Source organism: Homo sapiens, chromosome 12, assembly GCF_000001405.40.
Source record: "Homo sapiens chromosome 12, GRCh38.p14 Primary Assembly".
NCBI lineage: Eukaryota > Metazoa > Chordata > Mammalia > Primates > Hominidae > Homo > Homo sapiens.
Window position 1 is genome coordinate 103,779,994 of NC_000012.12, and position 20,150 is coordinate 103,800,143.

At 43.5% G+C, this 20,150-nt stretch overlaps 1 protein-coding gene across 14 annotated transcripts in view, besides 3 other annotated features; it reads right to left on the bottom strand.

Moving 5' to 3' along the window:
• Positions 1-20,150, bottom strand: part of NT5DC3 (5'-nucleotidase domain containing 3) — a 94,920-nt gene that overhangs the window by 33,679 nt on the left and 41,091 nt on the right. For 8 of the 14 annotated variants that reach the window (XR_001748758.2, XR_007063093.1, XR_007063092.1 and 5 more), the window contains 9 exons: positions 18,594-18,684; positions 16,901-17,038; positions 13,944-14,004; positions 13,417-13,519; positions 13,171-13,272; positions 8,845-8,926; positions 7,448-7,534; positions 5,342-5,482; positions 307-371 (listed from right to left, as the gene is read on the bottom strand). Coding sequence is in view for 5 of the 14 variants with exons in the window: in NM_001031701.3 (NP_001026871.1) it covers positions 307-371; positions 5,342-5,482; positions 7,448-7,534; positions 8,845-8,926; positions 13,171-13,272; positions 13,417-13,519; positions 13,944-14,004; positions 16,901-17,038; positions 18,594-18,684 (870 nt within the window). In the remaining 9 variants the exon portion in view is untranslated. Of the gene's footprint in view, positions 1-306; positions 372-5,341; positions 5,483-5,614; positions 5,755-7,447; positions 7,535-8,844; positions 8,927-10,959; positions 12,326-13,170; positions 13,273-13,416; positions 13,520-13,943; positions 14,005-16,900; positions 17,039-18,593; positions 18,685-20,150 lie in introns of those variants that run through there. The other 6 variants (XR_944580.3, XM_047428976.1, XR_944581.3 and 3 more) reach the window with 6 other exon arrangements.
• Positions 11,308-11,477: an enhancer, noted in NCBI's record as "experimental_23254 CRE fragment used in MPRA reporter constructs". NCBI's record gives its function as "activates a minimal promoter by MPRAs in K562 erythroleukemia cells, with activity observed for the non-introgressed 12:104185164 variant allele {active_cell/tissue: K562}" and the evidence as "EXISTENCE:reporter gene assay evidence [ECO:0000049][PMID:34662402]".
• Positions 17,013-17,182: an enhancer, noted in NCBI's record as "experimental_23277 CRE fragment used in MPRA reporter constructs". NCBI's record gives its function as "activates a minimal promoter by MPRAs in K562 erythroleukemia cells, with activity observed for both the introgressed and non-introgressed 12:104190869 variant alleles {active_cell/tissue: K562}" and the evidence as "EXISTENCE:reporter gene assay evidence [ECO:0000049][PMID:34662402]".
• Positions 18,302-19,501: an enhancer, noted in NCBI's record as "MED14-independent group 3 enhancer chr12:104192073-104193272 (GRCh37/hg19 assembly coordinates)". NCBI's record gives its function as "activates an origin of replication core promoter dependent on BRD2, BRD4, P300/CBP and CDK7 cofactors, and independent of MED14, by STARR-seq in HCT116 cells {active_cell/tissue: HCT116}" and the evidence as "EXISTENCE:reporter gene assay evidence [ECO:0000049][PMID:35650434]".

Sequence of the window (20,150 nt, forward strand, 5' to 3'; positions counted from 1 at the left end):
CAGCTGCCCAGATGGGAAGGTCAGGCAGGCAGGAAGGAGGAATGAGATGGGAAGGCTCCGTTCTCCAAAGGCCTTCGATGGCAAGGGCGGAGGAATGACAGGGGTGATGGCTGGCCTCAAGGAAATTTGTCACATGTTACCAACAGCAGGTAGCTGATTCTGGATCCTGGGGGAGGCAGACATACCTGGGAGCTAAAATAGGATGTTTCAACATTATGCCTCAGGCTGGCCCTGGGGAACACATGTGGGCTGAGCACAGCCAGAACAGGGTGGTGGACGCGCACATTCAATACAGGCCTCTCTTACCGCATCTCCTTCCTTTCCTTTTTCCACTCCTGCAAAACCAGCTGTGACTCAGCATCTCTGTGAACCTGTAGGACACAAGTCAATTATTACAACTGTTTTGATTTCAAATAAGCTCATTACGTAATGAGAATTTTTTAATGAGCAGTTTTTCTAGGAGAAATTTTATTCCCTTACATCTCAGAGGCTGGCACCTGAATGAAATAATACATTTTTCAGACCTTCCAGTTGAAACCCTGCCTTCTTCATGAATAAAAAATTGTTTTAAATGTCCAACATTAGAAATGTGGTTTAACAAATTAAGATGTATTATGAAGTTATTAACCTATCAGTAAAGATTACATATAAACATAATGCATGTGTATCCATGTATGTATAACACATGTATGTGATATATCCATTATGCACATGATACATCCATTACACATATATTATATACATGTGTACAAACTATAATGTACAAATACTTAGTACATGCTACCTATTATACATATTATATACATGTGTACAAACGTTATAGTTAAGTAGAAATGGCGTATATACCCACCAATTGCAAGCATGTCAAAGTATGTGCTTACATTTGGAAATTAACATAAAAATTTGTTTTAATTTGTACAGGGGTAGTAGAATTATAAATAAACCTTTTAATTTAATATTATATTAAGTGTTTAATTTAAAAAAACAATTATTTTTTTGCAAAAGGCAAGAAGGCAAATCACCTCAATGAGAAGGAAGAGCAGAGCATTTTCTGGTGGGCCAAAATATGGGCGAAAGGCAAAAAGAAAATGCCAATTGCCCATGATCTAACAAATGGAATCTCACAAGTCCCTCTCCAAGGTTCTTATGGCTAAACAGAAACACTGAGGCCAGAATCCAAGGTGCACATGATCGCAGGGAACAGGCCAGCTCCCTGCAATTCATGACCACAGGGGTAACCTTAGAACCTGGAGGAAAACACCAAGCGGGCAAACCATCTGCTTTTGACATGGGAGCCAAGAACCTTCTGTTTATCACATCTGCCCAGTTCAACAGCTTGACTCTGAACCCTGAGGCTGTTGAAGGGACATGTAAAGGAGAAAGACCCCAGGAATCAGAGGCCAGGGACGCATGCCCAGAGGGGGACCCTGAGCTCTGCGCCTTCACTCGGCCACCCTTCGGGCCTTACCTCCCACGAAGCACCCAGCAGCTGGCTGGGGCGCCCTGCTGGCTGCCCTGCCATGAACCTTTCCCACCATTTATCATCTCTCTCATAGGAACAGCCCTCTCGCCTGCATCCTTCCCATCAGCCATTAAACATGCTCAAGTCTCTCCCATTGAAAAAAGAAGATTTCTCCTGGTGCCCAACCCCCTTTCTCCAGCTCTGTCCCCCTACAAGGCCAAACTCCATAAAACAAGAGCCTCTGGTTCTGAAATCCACTTTAAAATATTTCAAAGACAGTGTGTGTTCATTAGCTATCATTAATCTTTCAAGTGAAACCATGCACTCTAGAGTGGGTACTTAACATTGGAAAAGACTAACCGAAGCCCCACAGAGAACTGATCCTACAGGCACTTCAGCCATCTCCATCTCCAGTGGTTGTTCATGGGCATAATCAGCTCTTTAGGGGCAAAACAGATTGGCTACATATCTTTGCCCTTGTTTGAGAAAGATATTACAATCTAGCCAGTGCAATAGCCTACATCAGTCCAGCCACCGGCCCATTTTTCTATCAGCCTATAAGCTTACAAATGGGTTTTTCTTTTTCAATGGTTGGGGGAAAAAAAACTCAAAAGAAGAATAATTTCATGACAGGCTGGGCGTGGTAGCTCACGCCTATAATCCCAGCATTTTGGGAGGCCAAGGCAGGTGGATCACTTGAGGCCAGGAGTTCGAGACCAGCCCGGCCAACATGGTGAAACCCAGTCTCTTCAAAAATACAAAAATTAGCTGGGCATGCTGGTGCACACCTGTAATCCTAGCTACTCAGGAGGGTAGGCATGAGAATCACTTGAGCCTGGGAGGCAGAGGCTGCAGTGAGCTGAGATCATGCCACTGCACTCCAGCCTGGGCAACAGAGTGAGACTGCCTCAAAAGAAAAAAAAGAGAAGAATTTCCTAACATGTAAAAATTACATGAAAGTCAAATTTCAGTGTCCACCAATAAAGTTTATTGGGACACAGCTACAACCATTCATTCACATACTGTCCACGGCTGCTTTTGTGCTACAAGTGCAGAGGTGGGTAGCTGCAACAGAGCCTACAGCCTGCACAGCCTAAAATATTTACCATGTGGCCCTTTGCAGAAGCTTGCTGACCTGTGGTCTAAATGTGGCCTCTGACTGGTTGGTTACCTGAGAAGCGGCTACCAATGCCAGCACCACCACCATGAACCACAGCCATTTTGGAATGCACTTCAAGGCTAACTAATGAAATTACAACCAAAATTTATATACTTCTATTTCATTCATGAGACTCGGCTCCAAATGACACTCTGTGAGGTCAGGAGTTTGAGACCAGCCTGGCTAACATGGTGAAACCCCATCTCTACTAAAAATACAAAATTAGCTGGGCGTGGTGGCACAAGCCTGTAGTCCCAGCTACTTGGGAGGCTGAGAGAGGAGAACTGCTTGAACCTGGGAGGTGAAGGCTGCAGTGAGCCAAGATCGCGCCACTGCACTCCAGCCTGGGCGACAGAGCAAGACTCCATCTCAAAAACAAACAAACAAACAAACAAAAAAATGACACTCTACTGGCTCTGAAAAAATCAAACCCAATCTCAGAGGACCAATTTTTCTCCTCAGAAAACTGTCCAAATAATGTGCTACATGCTCTGAAAATAATCCCCAAGGGGGAGTTCTAGAAACATCTACCACAGGCTCAGTGGAATAACTTATAACTTTCTAAGGGAACACTGAGGAAGAGGGTGACAGTGAGATAGGACACTGATTTGGATGTTTTTTTAGTTAGCAGCTATACACCTCTATATCCTAGTGAATCCAACCTGACAGAACTCTGTACAAAGTGCCAGAACCCAAGGCAATCAATATAGGTGCACAGAGGTTAAGGGTCTAGAGTCGGTCGGCCTGTGTGTAAACACCAGCATCACCCCTCACTAGAGCAAGTTATATCTCCTCTGCGCCTCAGGGTCTTCATCAGTAAAATGGCAGTGATGTTTCAGAACTACTTCAAAGAGTTTCTGTGAAGATGAAATGAACTTAAAGGTCTCAGTGTCCAGAACACGGTAAGTTCTTACGACATTTCTACATAGCCTGATTCTGCCAACCGAGAACTGTGATTCTAGAAAAGTCACCTATCTCGCTGTCTCAGTTTTCTCTCCTGCAAAATGGGGGCAGCTATGTAAACCTCAACTCCCTTTTCTTCCTTCCCTTACCCCACACCTCATATAATTAATTTTACAAACCACAGAAATATTTTCAGCACTTCCATTCTCTAAAACACACATTCCTTAGTAGTCAACTTTTTACACAGGTCAGAAAAAGGAAAACAAAATAAAACCAAAAAAAAAAAAAACCTCTTTCCAAAGCTAAAATATACTGATACCATCTACGTGCAGTTGTGTTTGTACCTATGACCAGCTGCCAGGGTCACAGAGATTTCACTGAGGGTGAGTCAAGCCTTGCCTATACCCGAATCCTCTAAACAGGAAGGCACATTAGAGCAGTGCTCTGAAGCATGGACTTGGGGACTTGGTTCAAGCCCTGCCCTGCCATTTTATGACCTCAGACATGAATGATACCTAACCTCTCAAAAACTGTTTCCTTATTCTAAAATGGGAAAATTGTACCTACCTGCAAGGGACAGCTGTGACTATTAAATGAGCAAAGTGTATAGAGCCAGCACTCAGCACAGTGTCCAGCACATAAAAAGTAACTATTAGTAGTGTATGACATGCACAGACTCTAAACTACACTAACTCAGAATTGACACTGTATATTTTTAGTAAATCATCTCACAGACAAGCATAGCGAGGGAAACAGAATAAATCCTCATCAGAGGATTCTCATCAGAGAAGAGCCAAGAACTAATGGAGCCCAGTGCATCCTGGAAACAAGGCCCAGGGGGACGTGCAGGGCCCCATGCTCTGGAATGCATGCACCTGGAGCCAGAATCTGGCCTGCCACTCATGGCCCTGCCTGATCTCACTGCTCAGCCACTCCCAAGCAGAGTGCCAGCTGGGGCAGGCAAGGCAATTCCCTGCCCATTTCCAAAGCCAGAGGGCAGGCATGGGCAATAGGCTGTGGCCACAGGTTGCAGGTGTGTTAGCCAAGAGAGCAAGCACCTGTGCCCAGATCCTAAAAATGTCAGCACCCATGCTGAGACGGCTGTAGCCCAGGCAAGCTGGAGCCAGGGAGAAAGCAAGGTGCCTCATGGAACTGGAAAGGAAAGGGGCACATGGAGAATTAAGGGGATACAGCTACAAAAGAGAGGCAGCTTCCATGGGCCAGGAAACGACTGATAAAACTGCCATTCCTCACTTACCAGCCAAAACTGGCTGCCTAACTTAACTTAAGGAAGTAACTGCCAGGGAACTCCAGTAAGCCAGCAAACTGCAGGTATTATCCTCAGAATCAACTGAGGCTGGACCCAGGGATCTTGACTCTTGCTTTGAGACTCTTTCCAGTAAGCCATGGTGCCTAGACTGAAGTTTTCGTTCCAGCGGCCCCTTTATTTCACAGATGGGGAAACTGAGGCCCAGAATGGAGAAGTCCCACCGTAGCAGGTGCAGACAGAACCAGCACAGACTCAAGCACTGGCAGGGCTTCCTGAATCCCAGCATCCCACAGGAGAGCTCCTAGCAGGCTTCAGTGTGGAAGTGAGGACACTGGATCTTCACTGACAGAGGAATGTGAGCAAACACCTGCATTAACAAAGGCCCCACAAACACTGTCTAGGCAAAAGAACCCCAATCGTTATTCTACAGTCTACTGAAAACAACTTAAGCCTCATATTTTATAACAATTAAGCAGAAAATACCTGAAGTAACTTTCTAACCTCAGGCTTAAAGAAAAAGTGAGAGAGAAAAATAATATATCCAAACCTGCATCTGTTCCAATAAGCCAGTCAAGGTCTGCAGCCAGGTCATGGTTTGAATGTATTGCTCCGTGTTCATGATTTTGAGCTCAGATCTCAACTCTGGGATGATTGCACCAGTCCTCCAGCCATGCTTTAGGGTCAAATCCTGATCACAAAGATCACGAAAAGTCAACGTCAGTCTCAACAGAATCTAAACTATGTCATTATTTTCCCAGACATGAGAGGCATTCATTTAATTACTTTTTGATGGTAATGGTTAGTTATTCACCAAGCTGAATTCAATGAATTACATTTAATTAAAACCTATTTGGCCCCAGCCTTTGATCATTTCATTCCAAGAAAGTTTCAGTTCTGGAAATAATTGCCGTGAGTCACAACCCCTGCAGAAACACTAGGTCTGGAATCATTAACCATGGTCTGTAAAAAAAAAAAAAAAAAAAAAAAAAAAAATGAGGTCAGGGGCAGAAAGGGGCTTGACCTAAATGCTACCAAAGGTCTTCATTCAATTCATCCACAGACCTGTGTGTGCCAGGCCCTCTGGGTTATGGAGAACCATGGAATCTCAGATTTGGAATGATCACATACAACATAAGCATGCATGATCACATTTTCCATTCCAAATGCTGTCACCCCATATTTGACAACAGGCCAGAATATCTAGTATCAGCTATGTCCTGGAAAATCTAAGACATATAGTCATCATACTAAATGTGCATTTTCTTATTTGGCAAATATTTATCAAGCACTACTATTTGCCAGGCCCTAAATACTGAGGATAAAACAATGCACAAAAAAACTGAGAAATCCCAGCCCTCGTGGAAAATACAGACAATAAATAAGTAAAATACACAATGGCAGGTGGGGATAAGTACAAGGGACAAAAATCAAGCAGAATAACAGGATAAGGAGAGGAAGCAAGGAGGTTTCCATTTTATACAGGGTAGTTAGGAAGACCAGGCTAATACAAGGACAAGGTGGGGGAAAGTATGAAAATATGTGGAAACAGAAAGATTCTGGCTGAAGAACAGCAAGTGCAAAGGCCCTGGGGCAGGAACATGCTGGAGGGTGGCATGTTAAGAAGCAACAAGTCAGGGAACCTAGAAGAGACAAAACAGGGGGCAGAGGCAGAGGATGTCTTCAGAGGTGGGCTGGGGAAGGGGAAATCCAGTGGGCAACCATAGGAACTCAGGCTTTTACTCAGAGAGAAAGAAAGGCTTTCAGGTTTTAAAAGAAGTGGTAGCTGATTTATAGTTTTAAAGGTTCAGTCTGGCTACTCAGCTAAAGCCAGAATCCTAAGTCCTATGCAAGAGTCTAAGAGGGCTTAGGATGCCCACCTTCCTCACTGGTTTGATTTTTTTTTTTTTTTTTTTGAGGCAGGGTCTCACTCTGTCGCCTAGGCTAGAGTGCAATGGCATGATCTCAGCTCACTGCAGTTTCCACCTCCCAGGTTCAAGCAATTCTCCTGCCTCAGCCTCCCCAGTAGCTGGGATTACAGGCGTGTGCTACCACGCCCAGATAATTTTTGTATTTTTAGTAGAGACAGGGTTTCACAACGCTGCCCAGGTTGATCTCAAACTCCTGAGCTTAAGTAATCCACCCACCTCGGCCTCCCAAAGTGCTAGGACTACAGGTGTGAGCCACCATGCCCAGCCCACTGGTTCAGTTTCTTGAAGCCTTTGAATATTTCTCTTCCTCCTAATAATACATGAAAACCTACAGCACATTCTTTTAAATATTCCCAACGGTGGCAAACTTTCAAAGGTGGATTTTATGTTTTTTGATGCATCGATGAAAGGAAAAAGAACAATGGCATTTATTTCTTATTATTTAAATGGAAAGATTATTCTGATAAACTCTGAGTGAACTTATTTCCATCATTTCCAAAAAATATTTATCTTTTTCACAACTCTGATCCATCCTGTTCTGTTAAAAAAAAAAAAAAGACATTAAAAAAATGCAGCCTACTTTTAGGTTTTATGAAAGCATAAAGATGACCTTAAATAAAAGATATATTCTTAAATAAAAGGTACATCCTTAAATAAAAGATACATTCTTTAGTAAGTGAGACTAACACATCTGTCCCCCAACAAAGGAAAAAAGGGCCCCTCACCGCCAGGTCACTGTATATATGGTCACCAAAATACAACACTCTGGATCCTCTCCATCCAGTAAGCTTCAAAAATTCATATAAATTACCCTGTAATCAGAGAAAACTATAGTTATTATTATTACAGATAGAGATCTGTCTAACCCACAGTACAAAATATAAAACTTTTAAAAATTGTTGTTTTTATAACTTATTTTAAATATCAAAATATAAAGATAAAAGCACCTTCATGGGAAATCTTTCTTCTATGTCAAATGCACTGTTCAAGAAGGATTTATATTATATACACCTCACTGTAACTATCTTTCCACACTTAACATGCTGTGGCCATCTTCCCATGTCAATAGTCTACCATGTAATGATAGCAGCTGGGAAGTACCATGATTCCTTTCGCCAATTCCCTGATGTTGGACAGCTGACATTATCTATTTTATAAGCAACTTCATGATAAACATTCTCATAGCCAAGTTGTATTAGCTATTATCTTCATAATTTTCTTAGGCTAACTTCCTAGAAGTAGAATGGCTTTATCAAAGCTAATTTTTCAAGGCCTAGAAAATACACTTATTGCCAAATCCATCAGATTGTTATATACCCACCAAGAATGTATTCATATTTTTAAAAAATGAACTTTAGTAACATAATAATGGTCACCGATGCAATAATTCATTCAAATATTTGAAAGCCTCATATGACACCAAAATATATTAGAACTGTGCACAGGCTAGGTGTGATGGTTATGCCTGTAATCCCAGCACTTTGGGAGGCCAAGGTGGGAGGACTGCTTGAGCCCAAGAGTTCAAGACCAGCTTGGGCAAAATGGCAAGACCCTGTCTCTACAAAAAATAAAAATTAAAAATTAGCTGGGTGTGGTGGTGCATGCCTATGATCCCAGCCACCTGGGAGGCTGAGATGGAAGGATCACTTCAACTCAGGAGGTTGAGGCTATAGTGAATCATGTTCATGCCACTGCACTCCAGCCTGGACAACAGGGCAAGACCTTGTCTTAATAAATTTTTTTTTAAACTCACAAAATTGTGTACAAAACATGTATTGTCAGAAAATAATTAGTAATTTGAGTGAATAATATGCCATGAGTAAGTGTTCCTTAAAGAGAAATTTCCAAGGTTTACTACTGGCATCTTATATGTTACACACTATGAAAGTCATGCCTTAAATTTTGTTTTTAAAAAAACATTCAATTTTGAGTTAGATACTAGCAATATATTGAAAATATATTGATTTAAACCTAAGTTTACCACCAAGTTATAATCAATCAGTTCATGGGAATCACTCAGAACTGTGCCAGGCATACAGTAAGCCACAATGAACATCAGCTATTAGCATTATTACCGACCACAAAGCAAAGCAACAAAAAGGATCAGCTGGTCATGAGATACCTGCTTGTATATCTGGCCTTTCTGCAACTTATGGATTTTATCCCAGAGTAAGACACCTTTCTCATTCATCTTTCGGAAAGGCCTAACAACAGAAATGGGAAACATTATGACATGGAGTAGTACAGGCTGTCTGCTCTATGAAATACCAGTTATTCACTATCACAGGAAGTAGCTCCCTGCAAAAACCTAAAAAAAACCCGAAACCAAAACTCCACCATCATATTCCCTGGCCTAATTCAATGCGTCCCAAATTGTGTGAAGCCCAGTATCCAAAGGTGTTCCACGAAAAAAAAGAATTCCAGGGGGCTGGGCGCAGTAGCTCACTCTTGTAAGCCCAGCACTTTGGGAAGCCAAGGCAGGTGAATCACCTGAGGTCAGGAGTTCGAGATCAGCCTGGCCAACATGATGAAACCCCATCTCTACTAAAAATACAAAAATTAGCTGAGCATGGTGGCGGGCACCTGTAATCCCAGCTACTCAACAGGCTGAGGCAGGAGAATCGCTTGAACCCAGGAGGCAGAGCTTGCAGTGAGTGGAGATTGTGCCACTGCACTTCAGCCTGGGCAACAAGAGAGAAACTCCATCTCAAAAACAAAAACAAAAACAAACAAAAAAAAGAATTCCAGGGTCATATAAATTTGGAAAACACCATGCACTAAACATGTCCCTCTTAAAAAGCTATTGATGGCTCTGAAAAGCCCTGCTGTAATCAACTTTCTTTCACCCAGATTTCCCGGATTTACTTGACCAGGCAGAAAACCTGTTTATGAAGAAAAGTTTATGGAAATACTGCCTTAGTATATTTTTCTGGCTTTGTACCTGAAATTAAGCCACTCCAGATAAAAAACAAATCAGAAGACCAGAAGCACTAGTTTATGGTGGAAATTGGGAAGTAAGGATAATGCCTCATGCCTCACCCTGGCAGTGTTAGCCCAAAGGACTCACAGTTTGTTTGCCTTAAGGTAAAAATAAGTGTCACCCTAAAAAAATAATTTTTTTACCTAATTGTAATACAGAAAAATACTATGAAAAAAAGGTACGCAACCCAGAATTCTAGACCCACCATGTACACTTAACATTTCAGTTCGTGTTTCAGTCTTTTTATGAAATTTATCTTTCTTTCATGACTATAAAATGAGGATCACTTTGTGTACACTAATTTATATCCTTTTTCTCTAATATTGCGAGCAATTTCCCAAGTGATTACATCTTCTTAAATACATCATGTTTTACAGTAATACAACATCATCTTTTTTTTTTCCCAAATACATTTTTGGTTTTTTTGGAGAAAGGGTCTCACTCTGTTCCCCAGGATGAAGTGCAATGGCACAATCGCGGCTCACTACAGTCTTGACCTCCTGGGTTCAGGTGACACTCCCACCTCAGTCTCTCAAATAGCTGGGACTGCAAGCATGCACTGCCATACCTAGTTTATTTTATTTTATTTTATTTTTTTGAGAGAGAGTCCCACTCTGTCGCCCAGGCTGGAGTGCAGTGGTGCAACCTTGGCTCACTGCAAGCTCTGCCTCCTGGGTTCAAGTGACTCTCCTGCCTCAGCCTACTGAGTAGCTGGGATTACAGTTGCATGCCACCATGACTGGCTAATTTTTGTATTTTTAGTAGAAATGGGATTTCACCATGTTGAACTCCTGACCTCAGGTGATCTGCCCACCTCAGTCTCCCAAAGTGCTGGGACTACAGGTGTGACCAACTAATTTTTTAATTATTTGTAGAGACAGTCTCCCTATGTAGCCCAGGGTGGTCTCAAACTCCTGGGCTCAAGCAATCCTCTGGCTTCAGCCTCCCAAAGTGCTGGGATTATAGGTGTGAGCCACGGCACCCCGGCCCAAGTACATCTTTTTTTTTTTTTTTTTTTTTTTTGAGATGGAGTCTCACTCTGTCGCCCAGGCTGGAGTGCAGTGGCATGACCTCGGCTCTGCCTCCCAGGTTCACGCCATTCTCCTGCCTCACCCTCCCGAGTAGCTGGGACTACAAGCGCCCACCACCATGCCGGGCTAATTTTTTGTATTTTTAGTAGAGAGGGGGTTTCACCATGTTAGCCAGGATGGTCTCCATCTCCTGACCTTGTGATCCGCCCGCCTCAGCCTCCCAAAGTGCTGGGATTATAGGCGTGAGCCACCGCACCCGGCCAAGTACATCATTTTTAATGACTGCATAATACCCCCTCACATGGCTATTCCAAATTTAACTAGGCATCTCCTACTGTAGGGCTGTTAGGTTGTTTCTGACCTCTCATTATTATGAATAACACAAGGATGAATACAGATGGAGAATTATTCAGCTCTTACCCTAGGCTTCAAGAACAAAGACAAAATAGATGTTTGGGGGAGAGGGCTGAGACACCCTGCCTGCGCCATCCAGGGAAACGAGTCCAGGACCCTGCCCCCTCACTTTTTATAAACATAACAAAGCAGAGGAGCTCTCTGGTGAAAAGAGAGACAGGGCCCTTCTCCTGACCACACCCCAGAATCCACTAAGAAAATGGTGAGGGCATCATATCAGCTACTGTAGGGCCCCCAACCTCCCCCACTTCTTCCTCTAGGACAGGAGTGCCTTTGACCACTCTGACCCAGCTAGGTGCATGTTTTCCTCTGCATGCTTCAAAACTCCCAGACACCGATAAAGGTTTTTATGATACTCCCCAAGACACTGGAAGAAACCAGCCCTGGCCTGGAGCCAAATTCCTTAAACCCTCAATAAACTCCACATCCTGACCCACTCCTGGTGGACACACCTAGGTAGAACATCCCTTTCTCTCCTGTCTGCCAGAGCAGGGGTCCCCAAACCCTGGGCCGCGGACCACAGACCAAAACCAGTCCAAGGTCTGTTAGGAACCGGGCCGCACAGCAGGAGGCGAGCGTCCAGTGGGTGAGAGAGCATTACCGCCTGAGCTCCAACTCCTGGCAAATCAGTGGTGGCATTAGATTCTCAAAGGAGCGGAACCCTATCGTGAGCTGCACAAGCAAGGGATCTAAGTTGTGTGCTCCTTATGAGAATCTAATGCCTGATGATCTCAGGTAGAACAGTTTCATCCTGACACCATCACCCTACCCCCACAAACCTGCTGGAAAAATTGTCGTCCATGAAACCGGCCCCTGGTGCCAAAAAGGTTGGGGACCCTGTGCCATAGGATGCACAGCAGCCCACTCTGTAAGTCGGTTCCTCTAATAAGCGCTTTGCACTGATCACCCCAGAGTTTAGTGCTTCTTTCTTTGGAATCCCAACCAGCCCCATCATGGGACGGTTTGCGGCTCTCCCATGTAGGAACTCCCTTGCCACTGTCTTTGGGATGACTCCAGCCGCCAGTCAGTGGGACAAAATAGTAACAAAGCAGCAAGCCACAGTTTATAGCTGTTTTTCATCACACTCATTTTCTTGAGTCCCACCAAGCATTTTTGAGTCCCTGCACATGGTTCTTGGTTTGCCTCTTCTTCCTGGAGTCACTGTGACACGTGGAAAACTGGGACAAGAGGAATTTAAAGCATTAACTGCAGGGCACCACACCCTGATGCTTCAAATCACCTAACAGAGAGGAACAGACTACCTGCTTACCAGCTGCAGAATAAACATGGGGGTAAAAGTGTTTCAAAACTTGCCCATTATTATACAAATACAAGTAATTTTTTTAGAACCCTAGTGCAGTGATTCTCAACACTGTGGGAATTTGTGGAGAACAGCTCTTGGTGAACAGGCCTGTCCCACAAGTTAAAAGATATTTTAGCGTTCCCTGATCCCTACCCACTAAATACTAACAGCACACTCTGTCCCTGTCACAACCTAAAACTTACCTGCTTCCCCATTCCCACGGCTACAGTGGCAGGAAGATATTAAGACGTAATAGAGATTTACTGCACGTGATGCAAAACCTGTGTTGCAGAGCAGCTCTGCAAAATCCAACTGCAATTTTAAACACACTAATGAGAGCTCTATTTACAGAGCTACCCAACAGGCAGTTTTGTTGCTGCTGTTGTTTTCTGATGCTTCACAATGTGTCTGCATCTAAAGATCTAATTTACTACGTGATAATAAGTTTGGCTTTCTCATCACTGCCAATCATTTTCTTCAAGCCTACCTCATGGGTCTGAAGTAGCTCAAGTTGAACTGAGAACCCTTTCAATGCATGCAAACTGTCTGTTACGTGCTCATGTCACTCTCCTCATGATTACTTGCTAGAAGGGTTAAAATTCAAAAGCTATAATCTCACATGCTTATGATTTTGCAACTGGATTTTACCAAGACACACCATCTATATATTCACAGCAGCAAAGGAATAAAATCTAGTCCCCTAGAAAAATAAACACTCACCTCCGCTTATCATTAAAGAAGTTTGGCTTCTCAGCCTGAACAATGACCACATCGAACAGGTCCCTCCAGTCTTTCCCAACGATATAACTCATCCCTTTGTCCCTAGGGCAACAAGTCAGCCAGGTTAGTCTAACATTAAAGAGATTAACTGTGTCTGTAACTTTTTCTTTCCAATTTCCAGCTGCTAAAACAAATGGGATACAAGGAGTGTGCCAGAAGCTAGCAATGAAACACAGAGCAACTTACACAAAGCTACTGGGGCTATTGGTGATGAGAAACATCTTCTTGCCATGATCAGCCAGTTTGGCCAACACTGCGCGGGTCTGCTCAGCATAGCAGATGTACTTTTCTAAGAGCAAGAGAAAAATTCACACACAGATTCAGCATGATATTTGTCAATCTGCAAGTACTTTCTAAATGGGGGTTTGGGTCCAGCACTGTCCTAGGCACAGGAAAGGGAATAAAGGCCCTAAGGAAGAAGCTTTGTCCGGTGGAACACGGGTACATCTGGTGCATCATTCACAAAGACCCTGCCTCCTCGGTCTAAGTGGAAACAACTAAGTGGCTATAGCTGCCAGTGCCTCTCCTTTTAAGTCAGAATTATGTCAAGTTCCAGGACAAAGAGGAGACGGCTAACATGCCAGGATGCCAGGTCCTTACAGAGCACTCATGCAGCCTCTGCTTAGCACCTGGAATGCAAAGTAAAATGCCGGCATGGTTGCAAAAGAAACAGAAAGGCTGAAACTCTCTTCGTGATACTGCTGAGCACATACCAATGTCTGCTTCAATTGCTCTGTACATTATTCCTTTGATGTGGACGTCTCGAATTGAATCCTGCCAAAAGATACATTTTTAATCAGCGAAAATACAACTGAGATAGCCTGAGTAACAGTACAAGTGAAATGGCAGTCATGGTAACTTCTGTCCCTAGAAAGTCTGACAATCCAGGCCCTACACAAAATCTAAATTCTGGTCCATTTTCTTCTTCTTTTTTTTTTTTTTTTGAGACAGAGTCTTGTTATATCACCCAGGCTGAAGTGCAGTGGTCCCATCTCAGCTCAATGCAGCCTCTGCCTCCTGGGTTCAAGTGATTCTTCTGCCTCAGCCTCCAGAGTAGTTGGGATTACAGGCGCCCGCCAGCACATCAGGCTAATTTTTGTGTTTTTAATAGAGACAGGGTTTCACCATGTTGGCCAGGCTGGTCTCCAACTCCTGGCCTCAAGTAATCCACCTGCCTCAGCCGCCCAAAGTGCTGGGATTGCAGGCATGAGCCACCACACCCAGCCAATTCTGGTCCATTTTCATAGGCAGCCCCTTGTGAAAGCCAAAGTTTCCATGGTGATGGTGGCAATTTCCAATGCAATTTTCAAAAGAGTGCTTGGAAGAGGTAATTTCTGTGAATAATTCTGAATAAAGTCCCACATGATAGACAGTAATTTATATCCAGTACTGTGAACAAATGATCCCTGGCCATCTGGACAAAGGGAGTTATTGCTCTTTTATCTTTGTGCCCTTTCTGTCCCTAGACCCCAACGGCAAATTCTATAACACAGAATGAGAGGCAGAGACAAATAGCTTACAAGTTCCTCCTTCTCTCTTTGGTACCACCAGCAGGGCAACGAACTGGCAATGAGATTGTAGCTCAGGCAGAGATGTGGTCCAGGGAGAGGAAGAGGAGGTGGTTAAACCCTTTGTGGGTTCAGGAGTATGGCAGCATGATAGCTGGCAGGTGTCAAAACAGGGTCCCACTGGCAGGTGACACTGCACAGGGCCTCTACGTGGTGACATTCCTAGAGGCCTATGGAAACTTTCTAGAGCCAGTAGCAGGAGACAGGGCTGCAGGCAAAATTGTGTCTAAGCCTTAGACTGTTGCTGGGAGATTTCTGTTAAGAGTGAGCACTTCTGGACTGCAATCTCAACCTCAATTACCTTTCAGCACAAGCCTGATTCAATTTCACACCAGCAGCAGAAGGCAGCAGTTAAATGCAAGTCAGACTGCCTGGCTTAAAATCAAGGCTCTGCTATTTACCAGCTGTGTGACCTTGGGCAAGCAACTCAACCTCACTGTGCCTCGATGTCCTTATTTGTAAAATGGTAAGAATAGTGCCTACCTTATATTATTATGAAGATTTAGTAAGTTAACATGCCTAAAGCACTCATAAGAACAGTGCCTAGGACCTACTAAGCTCTACACAAGTATTTGCTCTTGGTGGTAGCAACACTTGCAGTAAAAACTGAGCTTTCAAATCAACATCTCGCCTTATGAATGCACAAGGCTGCTACAAGTGATTCTTACAGATTTTTAAAGACAAAGTGTATACACAAAAAAGAGAACAGAAACTAAATACCTAAATTCAATTTGGATAATACCACACTGATATTGAGAAACTATAATTTATCCTCTATCTTCCTAAAACCCAGGATTCACGCTGCCAAAACTTACATTTACTTATAAATATATAACAAAAATATTTTAATGTGTAAATATGTATCTTTAAAAAATATATTTAAATAAACACATATTTTTATAAATATGTTATAACTATGTAAATACATACAAAATAATATAAACTTTTTTAGTACTAAAAAGTTCATACAGCTTAAAGAACATATATAAATATATAAACATGTGACCATAAAATACATAAATTTATAAATACAAATGATTTGTACAGTAAGTCCTTAACATCTTCAGTAGGTTCTTAGAAACTGCAACTCTATGTGAAACGACATAAAGCAAAATCAATTTTTTTCCTTGTCAAAACTAAAATGACATCGAATAAATTGGCGTTATTCAAGGACCTGTTGCACACGGTTTCACTTAAAGTCACGGATGCCAAGATCCTATGGGCAACAGTAAGTGAGGACTTTGTATATGCTCACGTAAACATTTACATTTGTCTACATCCCCCGTCCCCCAACTGGATTCTTGCATGACTTTTGCAGGACTTTAGAGAGCCACATGGAACCTTTGTAGGCAAAGGAAAAAGGCATCCCTTCTGGGCAACTACAGTGGCACAGGCCCCCCAGCCAGGAGCTTGAATGTAACCCATGTGACGAAGAGGCACCCTGGCCGGGCGTGGTGGCTCAAGCCTTTAATCCCAGTACTTTGGGAGGCTGAGGTGGGAGGATCACTTGAGGTTAGGAGTTGGAGACTAGCCTGGCCAACATGGTGAAACCTCGTCTCTATTAAAAATACAAAAATTAGCCAGGCGTGGTGGCAGGCGCCTGTAATCCCAGCTACTTGGGAGGCTGAGGCAGGAGAATCACTTGAACCCGGGAGGCCCGGGAGGCAGAGGTTGCAGTGAGCCAAGATCACGCCACTGCACTCCAGCCTGAGTGACAGAGCAAGACTCTGTTCAAAAAAAAAAGAAGAGGCACCCTTGCTCGGGCAGACTCATGGGTGAGTAGGTACAGGCTGGACTTCCATCCCCATCATCCCTTTGGCCAAGTGCACCGGCCCTGGCCTTGGCCTTCTGGTCAGAAAGGATCAAAAATTGAGATAACAGTGTCAGCACCATCTCGTTTTAACAAAACTTTTGACTGATTTCCAATTCTCCTGATGTAACAACATCTTTCTTGTAATGTTCAAGGTTAAACCACATATAAGAGTTCCCAGCTAAGAGACTATTTAAAACACCTAACCTAGAAAGGAGGTTCAAGACTCTGTGACTCCCACTGAAAAGGCTGAAACAGACTCAGCACTGTAATCTCTCACTGTGGATACAACCTTGACATCTTTGTACAGATGCACAGGCTCATAGTCGATGTTGTTCTTGAGGAAGTATTCATTCACGCAGGACAGGAGGGTCATCTCGGGCAGGGAGAAGATGTCCATGAACTGCTTCATCGTGTTTCCATGAGAGCTCTGCAGACAGGGTGGAAGGAATGCTTTAGAAACAGGGGCCCACGCAAGGGACAGAGCCACGAAGCACCAGGAACAGCAGGAAGCCTTTTCCGTGACTAAACGAGATCCCATCATCAACACAAAAAAGGAAAGTTCTAATAATAAAAAAGGACAATGGGCTGAGCGTGGTGGCTCAAGCCTGTAATCCCAGCACTTTGGGAGGCCAAGGCAGGTGGATCAGCTGAGGTCAGGAGTTCAAGATCAGCCTGGACAACATCGTGAAACCCCGTCTCTACTAAAAAATACAAAAATTTGCTGGGCATGGTGGTGGGTGCCTGAATCCCAGCTACTCAGGAGGCTGAGGCAGGAGAATCGCTTGAACCCAAGAGGTGGAGGTTGCAATGAGCGGAGATGGCGCCACTGCACACCAGCCTGGACAACAAGAGCAAAACTCTGCCTTAAAAAAAAAAAAAAAAAGTAAAATGTTCCCCTTGTTCCTTATCATTCACAGCAGAGCTGATGTCTCACTCTAAGTATAACTAGGATATCAAAAGAAATGCCCTGATTTCCCCCAGAGTCTAATCACCCTTCCCCTCCCAATTTCTCCTGTGCTCACTCCCATTTCCGGTTCACACTCAGGAAACACAGAGGAAAGCCAGCAAACAAATTATTGCCCATAATGACATTAAAACTCATGTAATTCTCCTGAACTGGAGCACGAACCTCACGGCCCACATTTGAGCTTAAAAAAGAGCCCTTCTCTGAATACTTGCGATTTACACTATAGATTCTCAACTTATGATGGGGTTACATTCTGATAAACCCACTGTAAAAGATGCATTTATACATCTAACCTACCAAACATCATGGCTCAGCCTAGCCTATCTTAAGCATTCTCAGAACATTTATATTAGCCTATGCAAAGCCTGTTTTATAATAAGGTGTTGAGTGTCTCATATAATTTATTGAATACTGTAATTTATGTTGAAATTGCGATGGTTTTACACCATTGTAAAGTCAAAAAATTCTAAGTAGAATCATTGTAAGTCAGGGGCTGTCTGTACTAAGTTTACTAGCTGACCGAGCATCGTCCATTTCATTTTGACAAAGCAAGTAAGTGAGTGCATCTAGTAAGACAAGAAGCAAAAATTCTGAGTGGAAAGAGAACCACAAAAGATAGAAAAGCAGAGGTTTCCCTGAAGGTAAAAAGGGTGGCTGTGTAGCCATCAACTCTGGCATTTCACAGCCATTCGTCAGGGGAAGCAGTAGCTGTCACACCGACAGCCCCAATCTGTTCTGGAGCCCCACTCCAGAAACTAGGGACATTCCTGGAGATGGGGTGGCAAATGGGGTAGGTATGTGGGAGGTGAAAAGAGCCTTCATCAGGTGGGGAGGAAGTGCTTCAGAAAGGAGAATCATGAAAGAATCTGGGGGTGTCCCCTTCAAACGCTAGTCTCTCTCAACACACAATCTCAAATTTCCCTGTCAATTCCATATAAGCAGTAGGTAAGTTCGACAAGGCCATGTTTCAAGAAGGAAAAAGGCTGCTTTAAATGAATAAAGTGCTTCTCATTACCTTTCCGTAAAAGTCACTCATCTGCTCCAAGGGCACGTGGGACCCCTCGTACATTTCAATGACTTCTTCATCAGGGACAACACTGAGGCCTCTGGAAAAACCAGATGGTGCAGTTAAAGAGCTCAACTAGAGAAACCAATGATTTTCACACCCCTGTGCAGTGCTGGGATTTTTCAATTGAGGTGCAAGGCACTGTCATCATGACGAGGCAAAATGTGCCACAAGTAAATGCCACAAATATCAGGTAAGATGCTACTATGTTTACTACTACTACTGTTCTATTGGTAACAAGAGCAGGAATAATAATAGTTAATATTACATGGCATGTACTATAGGCCAGATATGAATTACACCTAGTCATTCCTGTAATTCTCAACAATCCTAGGAGGGAGGCACCATTATTCTTCCCATTTCCAGCTGAGGTAACTGAAGCAAAGAAAGGTCATGTACCTGTTCAAGCACACCAAAGTAGGAAGTGGTAGGTCAAGATTAGAACCCAGGCTTTCTGGCTCTATGGTCCAGGCTCTCACACCACTAAAGCACAAGGCTTCCTAATGACTTGCTTTGGGGTGGGCTGGCTTTTGTTTTAATGTATTTAATACATTAGGGCAGAGAAAGATTGTTTTTGTCTCCATCAGACATCCTCCTGCCCTCCAATACTCTAGCCTGAGATAGGGGCTGACTTGGTTTGGCTGCGTCCCCACCTAAATCTCATCTTGAATTGTAGCTCCTATAATTCCCAGATTGTGGGAGGGACCTGGTGGGAGAACACTGAATCACCGGAGCTGTTTCCCCCATGCTATTCTCATGGCAGTGAATAAGTCTCACGAAATCTGATGATTTTATTAGGAGTTTCCCCTTTCACTTGGCTCTCATACTCTCTTGCCTGCCACCATGTAAAGCATGCCTTTCGCCTTCTGCCATGATTGTGAGGCCTCCCCCGCTATGTGGAACTATGAGTCCATTAAGCCTCTTTTTCTTTATAAATTACCCAGTCTCGGGTATGTGAGAACAGACTAATACAGGTGCTGAGAATGGGAATTGCCACACCCAACGCTCAGTGGACTAAACCCCGTGACATGAGGCAGGAAGCCCTGTGGCACCACCACCTTGGAGAGGAAATGACCCTGAATGCTTTGTGACACTGAAGGCCAGTTTCCTCATCTACCATCTGCCTGCCTCTGGAATCTGCAAATGAATCCACCTCCTCCACATACCAAAAAAAAAAAAAGATTTGTGAAGTCAGTGGCCAGGATTTCACTCCTGCTTCTGCCACCAGTGACTACAGCAGGTGCCTTCACCTATTCACCTGGACTCATCCACTCTCAAGCGTCAGGAGGGGAAACACCTGCTCCTCCACCCCTCCTGTGGAGGAGAAAGTGCTTGAGAAATAGACACCAATGATTACGAAACAACAGACTGAATAGTACAGGAAATGTCACGCTGTGCTACAACAGGAGTATAAATAATTCAAGAAGAATTTCAGTTACTAACACAACAGGTTGCTTAGCATACAAAACCACATGGTCCACAGTAAAACCTATGTACGATATCATT